Source organism: Homo sapiens, chromosome 3 (assembly GCF_000001405.40).
Source record: "Homo sapiens chromosome 3, GRCh38.p14 Primary Assembly".
Taxonomy (NCBI): domain Eukaryota; kingdom Metazoa; phylum Chordata; class Mammalia; order Primates; family Hominidae; genus Homo; species Homo sapiens.
This window is the reverse complement of record NC_000003.12, coordinates 101,334,468-101,346,177: the sequence shown is the minus strand read 5'-3', so window position 1 is coordinate 101,346,177 and position 11,710 is coordinate 101,334,468. Positions and strand designations below refer to the sequence as shown.

Sequence of the window (11,710 nt, the reverse complement as noted above, 5' to 3'; positions counted from 1 at the left end):
TGATGTTGAGCATTTTTTCATGTTTATTGGTCATTTGTGTATCTTCTTTTGAGAATTGTCTATTCATGTCCTTAGCCCACTTTTTGATGGGTTTGTTTTTTTCTTGCTAATTAATGTTTGAGTTCCTTGTAGATTCTGAATATTAGTCCTTTGTTGGATGCATAGATTGTGAACATTTTTTTCCCACTCTGTGGGTTGTCTATTTACTCTGCTGACTGTTCTTTTTGCCATGCAAAAGCTCTTTAGTTTAATTAAGTCCCACCTATTTATTGTTGTTTTGGTTGCATTCGCTTTTGGGTTCTTGGTCATGAAATCTTTGCCTAAGCCAATGTCTAGAAGGGTTTTTCCAATGTTATCTTCTAGAATTTTTATAGTTCCATGTCATAGATTTAAGTCTTTGATCCATTTTGAGTTGATTTTTGTATAAGGTGAGAGATGAGGCTCCAGTTTCATTCTCCTACATGTGGCTTGCCATTTACCCAGCACCATTTGTTGAATAAGGTGTCCTTTCCCCACTTTGTTTGTGTTTGCTTTGTTGGACAATCCAAATCTGTAAAGGGGAAGTCAAACTGTCACTGTTTCAGGATACAAAATTAATGTACACAAATCAGTAGCTCTGCTATACACCAACAGCGACCAAATTGAGAATCAAATCAAGAACTCAACCCCTTTTACAACAGCTGCAAAAAATAAAAATAAAATACTTAGGAATATAGCTAGCCAAGGAGGAATATAGCTAGCCAAGGAGGAATATAGCTAACCTCTACAAGGAAAACTACAAAACACTGCTGAAAGAAATCATAGACAACACAAACAAATGGAAACACATCCCATGCTCATGGATGGGTAGAATCAATATTGTGCAAATGACCATACTGCCAAAAGCAATCTACAAATTCAATGCAATTCCCATCAAAATACCACCATCATACTTCATAGAACTAGAAAAAACAATCCTAAAATTCATATGGAACCAAAAAAGAGCTCACATAGCCAAAGCAAGACTAAGCAAAAAGAACAAATCTGGAGTCATCATATTACCTGATTTCAAACTATAAGGCCATAGTCACCAAAACAGTATGGTACTGGTATAAAAATAGGCAAATAGACCAATGAAACAGAATAGAGAACCCAGAATAAGCCCAAATTCTTTCTTCTCCTTTTTTTTTTTTTTTTTTTTTTTTTTGCTTTCTTTTTTTCTAGAGATGGGCTCTCGATATGTTCCTCAGGCTGGTCTCAAGCACCTGGCTTCAAGCTATCCTCCTGCCTTGGCCTCCCAAAGTTTTAGTGTTACAAGTGTGAGCCACCATGCCTGGCCAACTACCTTTCTTATGAGTTTCTTGCCCTTGGTCATGACAAACTCTGACAGAATTTGCAGCAAAGTTAAATAAAATATAGAAGTCTTTGCCTTCAGTCTTTAGTTTCTAAAAAGTGAAATTCAGTTTACTTATATATTATTCCTTTAAGATTCGGTTGAATACTTTCCCATATGCACCTATAACACTTATCTATATAATATACATCTTGAGATATTTTTCAGCTTTGTTTAGTCTCCAGCTCCTGAAGGAGTTGGGTTTAGAACTACATCAATCAAATTTAGTAAGGTTCTTTCTTACCTGTTTGATCCCTCTACCTTTTTCCTACTCTCCTGCACAGTAAAGATGTTAAGTAGTGAACTAAATTTTATAACTTTCAAATTTGTTATTTTCCTGTCCTAATTACTTCTACTAGGAAAATTCATGATTAAATAGCAGAGAAGGTGGGGAAAATAGAAACAGCCATTTATAAGCATTCTGTGGGAAGAGAATGTCTTCAGATCACCATTGAAATGACTGAGGAGAAAATGTAGGAGGTGTTTAATTGGAATATGTTTCTAGTTGATAGAGTTGATTCATAAAGGAGGCTAGAGAAAAATAATTATTAATTATTCATTCATACATTCATTAACAAATGTTTATTACTAAATGTCAGGCACTGCAGATATAGCAATCAGTACTATTATGACATTTTAGTGCAGTAGAACAGGAGTCCACCAATTGTGAGTTTTGGTTCTGGATTACTAATGGCCTACTTTTGGGATATTAATTTGCCTTGGTTATTACCTAAAATACAAAATACTTGGGGTTATATTCCAACCTTACTATTATTAATAATTAAATTACTTGTATTATAATCCTCTTGAAAAATAATACTATTGATACAAATTATTTTTTCCTTTTGTAGCAAAATCTAGTGAATTCATTTTCCTTGAACTACACAATCCTGTTTCACAAAGAGAAGAATTGAAGCTGAAAGATATTATGACGGAAATAAGTATAATCAGTGGAGAATTAGAGCTTTCTTACCCGTTGTCTTGGGTTCAGGCATTTCCTTTGTTTCAGAACCTCTCTTCAAAAGAAAGTTCTTTTATTCATTATTACTGTGTTTCAACTTGTTCTTTCCCTGCTGGTGTTGCTGTTGCTGAAGAAATGAAGCTGAAATCAGTATCTCAGGTTAGCATATCATTAATATAATTGGCAGAGAAGGGGGAGGTTCAGAAAACATTTATTCATTGATATTAGGCTGCTTTCAAATGCTACATTTTGTGAAAAGGGCATAGGAACCAACCCAAAAGAACTCCCGTTGCCAATGCTGGAACAATTTGTTAAACAAAATCAATAATGACAGCATGGGATTATAACCAAATAAAAAATAAATATTAGTCTATATTTATATAAATAGATAACTGAGTAAATGAATGAATAAATAATACATGGTGGATAAGGGACAATTATATCTTAGAAAAAAATCCAATTAATAAATGAAAAGGAATAAGAGAAATACAAAACCACAAGTAGAACACTATGTTTATGAGTATTGCAAAGTCCACCAACAGATGCTAAATTTAATGAGTAAAAATTTAAGTAGAAACAAAATATATGCATAATCTCAAAGTCTCTAGCATAAAATATGTATTATTTACAAAAAGAAAAGTGGTAACTTTGCAGTGGAGAAACCTTGTAGACATCACTTTAACCAAGTTATCAAAATGAACATCACCAGTAATAAGACATGTTGACATAACACACCCCTTCGTATCATGCACTGAGAAGTACCACATCACTTCTGTGGTGTTCTTTCCAGTAATATGTAATCTCAATATAATTATGAGAAAAATGAGACAAGTCCTGTTACAAAATAATTGACCAGTACTCTTTAGAAGTATCAAGGTTGGCCGGACGCAGTGGCTTACACCTGTAATCCCAGCACTTTGGGAGGCCGAGGCAGGTGGATCACGAGAGGTCAAGACATTGAGACCATCTTGGCCAACATGGTGAAATCCTGTCTCTACTAAAAATACAAAAATTAGCTGGGTGTGGTGGCGCATTCCTGTAATCCCAGTTACTCAGGCGGCTGAGGCAGGAGAATCGCTTGAACCCGGGAGGTGGAGATTGCAGTGATCGAGATTGTGCCACTGCACTCCAGCCTGGCTACAGAGTGAGACTGTCTAAAAAAAAAAAAAGGTACTAAGGTCATGAAAAACAAGGAAAGACTAAGGAATTGTAGGATCCTGTAACAGAAAAAGGATATTAATGGAAAAGTGAAATCAAAATGAAGTCTGTAGCTTAGTTAATACTATTAGGCCAATGTTAATTTTTTAGTTTTGGTCATTGTATTATGGTTGTGTATGATAAGATTAGGGGAATTTGGGCAAGGTTGATTTCTTTCAACTCTTTTGTAAGTCTAAAATTATCTTGAAAACAATAGTAAGTTTTAAAATGCTATGTTTATTTTTATAGGAGGTTGGTAATATACATGTAGCTTGTATATCTCTGCCAAATAGTTCTAGAAAGAAAAGAATTTATTAAGAAGCTATGGCATACTCATATATACACCTGTGCACATGCATGCACATACACGGGTTTGGCCAGAGGCTAATCTTTTATTCAAAAGGCCTATAGAAAGCCACATTAGTGTTAGATAAAGTATAAGACTTCATCTCTATCTTTCTTTATGTATAATGTTGTCAATATTTTGCATCCTAATTATATTGTTTATATATTTTCCATTTAGTGGAATTACATTATTATAAATGTAGCCTCTTAATTTTAAATTTTATTTCCTCCTATTTATTACATTTTTTGATTATTTTGAACTGCAAAATTGTTATATTCTTCTTTAATTCTGTAGTCCATATCTGCAAATAGTACTTCAAGTTAATCTTTGACCATTGTTTATACAATATCTTTTCATCACCAGTATTATTTTGGTTTGGTTATATCTATGGAAAATCTAAAAGTATAGATATAATTCATAGGGATTTTTAAAGTCACATTTTCTCTCACACGTCTACGTTTTGACTTTGTTCTTTTGAAAGTTATGATGTTTGAGACCCTTTTTCTTGCCACTTTCTGTCAGCCCTCAAACACAGATGCGGCCAAGCCTACTTACACCTTCCTGCAGAAGCAAAGTAGCGGTTGCTACTCCCTTTCTATTACATCTAATCCAGATGAAGAATGGCGAGAAGTCAGGCACACTGGACTTGTTCAGAAGTATGTACTGTCATAGCATGTTTGTAGTAGATGGGCATATTAGTAGTTTTTATTCATGTTGCTGCTTTTCAGTAGTTTAACTTTTGAAATGTTTTAAGTTTTACTTTCATGCTGATAGTAATGGAAATAGGTTTTTTTAAAGAAATTATGAGGAAGTTAAAAAATTTATTAAGAAAACAATAGGTGCCATTTTACTTTTATGTCAGTAAGACATAAATGGCAGACAAAGTGTCATATTTGGTAAGATTAAAGTGTTTATTAAAAACATTTGAGTAGCAATGTATGATTTTAAAAATTCTACATTCCTTATCTGAACATATGATAGGGAAAATGAAATTGCTTACTGAAATATGCTTCAATTTAAGGTACTTTGGAGTTTGTTACAAGTTCTCTTTCAGAAATTGCTTCTTTGTTCATATTTCATCCATGTCTTCTCATGGTGCTAAGGAAGAATATGGAGTCTGTGCATTTAATGGTGATTTCTGTACCTCCATGTGATTCTATTTCTTTGTTTTGAAAAAAGACACTTGAAAGACTAGGATAGGAAAATAGCCAATAAGGTAGAAACTATCATATTAGCACTTTAAATTTACAGTTTTCTTTTTTGATTTAGGTGCCATGATACTAAGATTAAATCAATGTGGATGACTCTTACCATACTGAACCTTTCTGGCGCAAGAAGTACATATTATACCTTCATTACTGACTACATTTTTCATTGAGTACTGCTCTACCTATTCCAAGATTATAGCCCGGAATTCACAACTGGTCTTATTTCTAAGCTTTAAGAGAGAATGCCAGCAGGAGGATGACTAATTAGTTGTCATCTCTTCTCTACTACTTTCTGGTTGTGATTAAATTATATGTCTCCTTTGTGGTCTCTTAAGTTTTATGTGGCAGGCACTTTTTATGGGGAGACTTGCCTCCTAAGCTCCCATGTTATTTCTTTTTTGTCCAGCTGCTGGTATAGATTAGCCACCAGGAGCAGAGCACAATTTTTGACTGCTGGCTTTTCTGAAAGGAAGGGAACTAGTCTTGAGGATTCAAACTTAGAAAGCGGAGAAAGGAAAAGCTATATTTTATTACATCAGTTTATTCAAAGTTAAAAATTATGAAGAAGAGCAACATCTTCAATGGTATAACTGATTGTGAGATAAAACCTATTGATTAGAGACTAATTCAGATAGTAGCCTATTAAGACTAGCCCACATGGGAAGTATTGGAAAAGAAAAGATAATACTCAATCGGAGTACCATTAGTAGCTTGTGAGGATAAAGGAAGGAAAATATCATTATTTATGCCTGGTCAAATGTTTTTTACCCTACAGATTTGAGTTACAGAATACCACTGCCCAGTTATTGTTTCATATAAGAAATCTCTTAGATAATAGGATTTTCAATATCAGTATATGTTAACTTTATTTTTACTTTTAAGGTTGATTGTATATCCTCCACCACCTACTAAGGGGGGATTAGGAGTAACTAATGAAGATCTGGAGTGTTTAGAAGAAGGAGAGTTTCTTAATGATGTAATCATTGATTTTTACCTTAAGTAAGTACAATGATAAATGATCCTACATATTTTACAGATTTTACTGAGAAACTTAAAATAAATGTCTTTATCTCTGAATTATTTTAAATTCTGTTAAAAGTAGCCTGCCAAGATTTCAGATTTGGAAAATTTTTGCTTACCAAGGTTTTCTAGAATTGACTTATTCAGTTTCATTGCTTTACTTACTGTGGATGCTATATAGTTAAGAAGAGTTGCTGCTTTTTTGCTTTTTTAGCTTTTGTTAGTTTTTGATGTAAATTTCTTTAACTATTGTATTATGGTGGTGAAAGAAGTTACTTACAAATTACAAATCATTTTGGGAACTAAAAAACAGCAGCTCTATTGAGATATCTGTTGTATCTTTTTTTTTTTGTTTGAGATGGAGTCTCACTCTTGTCACCCAGGCTGGAGTCCAGTGGCACAATCTCGGCTCACTGCAACCTCTGCCTCCTGGGTTCAAGCTATTTTCCTGCCTCAGCCTCCTGAGTAGCTGGGATTACAGGCGCCCGCCACCACGCCCGGCTAATTTTTGTACTTTTAGTAGAGATGGGGTTTCATGTTGGCCAGGCTGGTCTTGAACTCCTGACCTCAGGTGATCTGCCCTCCTTGGCCTCCCTAAGAGTTAACTATCATTTTAAGAATCCATATCACTTAATTTCTCCCCCAACTTTTTGTATAGCCAGAGCTGCAGGAATTGGTATGAAAACATTTAAAACTTTATGCAAAGGAAATTTGCTTCTAGCCGTCATTTTGTACTGTATCTCTAGACCTAGATTCCCAACAGTTGATGGAGATATCTCCTAATTATTTTACACATCTCTCCCAAACCAAATTTATTATAATCTTACCTAAGCTCTATTGTTTTACTAATAATACTAGTAATCTTTATCCCAGTAACTCAGGTCAAAGTCTCACATTATATTTACAGACACTGTAGATTTAATCTCTAGGAATTAAATGTGGGTCTTTTTTATATCTTCCATGTTTCTTTTTGAACATATGGAATACAGTTATAATTGTTTTAATATTATTTTCTGCTAATTCTAACAACTCTGTCAGTTCTGGGTTCAATTGACTGATTTTTCTCTTCATTATGAGTCATTTCTTTGCACTTTTGCATGTCTGGTAATTTTTTGATTGGGTGCTGGATATTTTTGTATTTATAAATATGCTTGAATTTTGTTTTGGGACACAGTAAAATTATTTGGAAAATGTTTGATGCCTTTAAGATTTGTTAGATGAGGCCAATAACTTAATCTTACTACTGAGGAAAGACCTTTTTGAGTATTCTACCCAATGTCTCAGGAATTACGAAGTTTCCAATTTGGCTGATAGGAACAGGCACCATTCTTGGTCTCTGTGAGCACTTGGTATCATTCTCTCTGATCTTTTTGGGTAGTTCTTTCCCTATCCCTGGGTACTTTCCTCACATACATTCGGTGTTTAATACTCTCCTGAATACTTGAAGAGGACTTTGCAGCTGTCTGGAGTTCTCTGTATAGCTCTTTCCTTTCCAGTATTCTGATCTGCAAACTCTAGCTACTCCATTTTTAAAAAACAATCACACATTTTCAAGCCTGCATAAACTATAAAGAATAGCAGAGTTTTCTAATCATGAAGGGGTTAATTACTAAGTGATTGGATTATAAGCTTATATGGAAGGATTGTTTTAGTACAGAAATGGACTAAGAATTTAGAGATGAATCATATCACACAGTTATTAACATTTTTCTAGATTTGTTTAGCAGTGTCACAATTTCACTTTTATATTTGAGTATATGATTATTTGATTAATATTTTCTACCCTCACTCCTCTGGATTATAGGCTCTACAGGGGCAGGTACTTTATTTTTCCCCTCTTGTTTTGTGTCTCTAGTGTAAACATGGTGTTTGGCACATGTTAGGAATTTTTAAAAGTTTTTTAATTTTTTTTTTTTTTTTTGAGACAGAGTCTCGCTGTGTCACCCAGGCTACAGTGCAGTGATGTGATCTCAGCTCACTACAACCTCTGCCTCTCGGGTTCAAGTGATTCTCCTGCCTCAGCCCTCTGAGTAGCTGGGACCACAGGTGCACACCACCACACCCAGCTAATTTTTGTATTTTTAGTAGAGACGGGGTTTCACCATGTTGGTCAGAATGGTCTCGATCTCTTGACCTCGTGATCTGCCCGCCTCGGCCTCCCAAAGTGCTTGGATTACAGGCGTGAGCCACCGTGCCTGGCCACATGTTAGGAATTTGATAAATATTTGTTAAGTAAATGAATGAATAAGTGGGTAATTTCTGCTTTACATGATGGAAGGCTAGGTAACTAACCAAACTGAAAGCTGAAATCAGAGGAAACTGCAAGATTGCTTTGAATCAAAATAGATAAAAAATAAAGATTTCCAGAACACATAAGACAACTGGGGGACGACCAAGTAAAATCTAAAAATAATTTACTTTTGTGGGGTTACTACTTTACAGGTATCTTATATTGGAGAAGGCATCAGATGAACTTGTTGAACGAAGTCACATTTTTAGTAGCTTTTTCTATAAATGCTTGACAAGAAAGGAAAATAATTTAACAGAAGATAATCCAAATCTTTCGTAAGTTAATCCTCTAATGTACTTAAGTTTTAAGAGAAAATGTACTATTTTTGATGCTCCTAGTAAAGTGGCTTCTTTATAGTATTTCCTCAAGTAGGCAGTACTACCATTTGTTCAGGTCCTGGGTCTGTTTGCCATGAGAGCCATTTCTCATCCTTCCACTGTTTTGCTGCCCATGACAGGGAGGCTGACACTTGCAGTCTGCATTTCCAATTGCATGTCCCTGGGGGAAATCCTGGAAGTTGGAGGGCAAGGAAGAAAGAAGCTAGGTTATTTCTTCCCTACTCTCTTTGCATTGGGAAATGATTCTGACAGTGGCTGTATTTCCTCTGTGAGTCCACCTCTCACAGGACAGACCTGCTATAACTCCAGCTTTCATCTGGAGGTACTGCTTCCTCTCTTTGCCCTCTACCCTACAGGTATAGCAGTTTCCTCCTCTGCTAATCTTTGCTGTCTCACTGTCCCCGTTTTTGGCTTTGTGTTTTTTTGTTTTTCTTTTTTTGTCAATGCTATAGCCAATTTCCTGCATTGAATTCTATCTGTTATATAGGGCTGTTTTTGTTTTCCTGGTTGGATCCCCAATGACAGACTATTTAATTAAACCTATGCTACATTATACGAAATACCCTATTTGTTTGCACAATTTAGCTGATTTTTGCCCAAGTATTTTTTTGGTTAATACTAAAACTGTGGAGCAGTGGCTAGGGATAGGCAAAAAGGAGGTATTTCTTAGACAGTAGAAACTTGGATAGTTGTTGCAACATGAGGCATTTCTCCCCTTTCCCCATACTTAACAATTTGTATGATAATCTATCTGAGTAGACTCATGATAAAGCTGAGTTATTGTTATTTTAAAAGTTAGTGTAAACATTTCTCTACTGCTTTACAATTTACAACTCCATTTATTGACATTATTTCAGTTTTTCCTATCATGACAGTACCTTTTGATAGGGCATATAAACTGTATCCCAATTTTTCATATGAGGAAGCAGTCTAATGAAGATTAATAAATTTTACTTAAGATGAACAGCTAGTGAGTGGCAGAACTAGTTGGTACTTAAATCTTTACCTTTTAACTTCTAGTCCAAAGTTTTTATTGTACTAGATTGCTTTAAAAAATGGCTATGAGAGTTTGTTTCATCTCGTTAAAATAACAGGAGTAATAAACAAGAGTTAGAAGAGGATTAATGGATAAACTGCTTGAATTTGATATATTGTTGGAGAAAGAGGGTAGGAATAGGGACACTAATTAATATTTATTGAGTGCCTGCTAGGAACTAAGACGGTGAACATAAAGTTATTTGATTCTACAGTATTATTGTCATTGTCTTTATGAATTGAAGCTTAAGGAAGTTATATGAGTTTTTCAAAGTTGGATATAGCTTTCCAGTTTCAAAGTTCAACTCTTTCTGTTGTTCATAGTGTTGTGATTATATAATTAATGGTCTAAATTGGGATGCTTGTGAGAATAATAGGAGGCTGTCTTAGTGGGTACACTAGACAACGAGTGCGTATACCAGGGCTTTTCTAGACAAACTGGGATGTATGATTAACTCCATTTTGAGTGTCTTTACAGGTTTGGAATTTGTCCTGATGGACAAGACCTGCGAGGATCAGTTAAGGAGAAAACTGCAATTTGAAAATATTTCTGATAATCAGGGCTAGGAGAGGGATATATGGAAGGGGGAGATTTATTAAATAAATTAGGTAACATTTCTGATGCCCTCCTGTTCTGTTTTATGTATACAGAATTTAATGATTGGTACCATGCACTTAATCTCATGTTTTATTTCAAGATTATTCAAAGTAGAGATTGTGAATTTTGTATACTCACCTTCAAACTAAGGAAATGAAAGTAGATAGATTCTGCTGTATTAGTAAGCTTTTCAAAAAACAGATATTGTGTACCTGATTATTATATACATAATAAAAATAAAGTTACGTGAGTGGCATCCTCTAGGGTAAGATGCATAAGATACTACACACACACACACATGTACACATGCACATGAATGTGTGAATACTAATGCTTGGTCTGTTAAGCATTCACACAATTTGATATATCAGATCAAGCATTAGTGTTTACACAAAGAATCCCTACAAATCAGTTTTTAAAAGTCATCAGAGCAGCAAGAGATATGAATTTTAATGGCCAATAAATCCACATCAAAAGGCTCTAACTACTAGTGTTGAGAAGCTACAGATTCCTTATCATGCTTTATGAGATCCTGAAAGATCTGGTTTCTTTCCATCTCCTTAAACTCATCTCATAATATTGTTTCCTCTCATTTACCATACTTAAGTTCAACCTACCTCATTTCCATTTTCAAATATGCTGACCGCTTTCCTATTTTCTGCCTGAAACAACTTATCCTGGCATTTAAAAAATTTGTTTCACAGCGTGATCTGTAATCATTTTATTCGTTTGTTTACGTCTTCATTTTCTGTTTCTCATTTGAAGCTACATGAAGTTAGGGACTTTATCTGTCTTATTTTCCACTCTATCCTCAGTACCTTGCTCGGTGCTTGGAACATATTAGGAACTCAAAATATGAGATGATAACAGTGCCTATTATTGATTACTGAGAGAACTGTTAGACATTTAGTTGAAGATTTTCTACACAGGAACTGAGAATAGGAGATTATGTTTGGCCCTCATATTCTCTCCTATCCTCCTTGCCTCATTCTATGTCTAATATATTCTCAATCAAATAAGGTTAGCATAATCAGGAAATCGACCAAATACCAATATAAAACCAGATGTCTATCCTTAAGATTTTCAAATAGAAAACAAATTAACAGACTATACACTAGTTGAAAGTAATTGTTTATACTGATTATAATGGTTGGGTCCTTTTGAAATGAGAAAATTCAATAAACGTGACTTTGATTTTTTTATGTGGTTAATCTTCCACATAGTGTCTAATTGCTGTCAAATCTTTTAGCTCATTCTGGATCCTATGTTACTCCTGATGTTTACCCATAGAGTTTTGGCTAGATATTATTCAAATGAACAAGATGGGGCAATGATTTCAGTTTCC

At 34.6% G+C, this 11,710-nt stretch overlaps 1 protein-coding gene across 16 annotated transcripts in view; it reads left to right on the top strand.

Moving 5' to 3' along the window:
* SENP7 (SUMO specific peptidase 7) overlaps positions 1–11,710 on the top strand; it is a 189,008-nt gene that overhangs the window by 167,035 nt on the left and 10,263 nt on the right. For 14 of the 16 annotated variants that reach the window (NM_001282803.2, XM_017006926.2, NM_001282802.2 and 11 more), the window contains 4 exons: positions 2,224–2,492; positions 4,399–4,532; positions 5,967–6,083; positions 8,547–8,669. In NM_001282803.2, the coding sequence (NP_001269732.1) occupies positions 2,224–2,492; positions 4,399–4,532; positions 5,967–6,083; positions 8,547–8,669 (643 nt within the window). Of the gene's footprint in view, positions 1–2,223; positions 2,493–4,398; positions 4,533–5,966; positions 6,084–8,546; positions 8,670–11,710 lie in introns of those variants that run through there. The other 2 variants (XR_007095714.1, XR_007095713.1) reach the window with 1 other exon arrangement.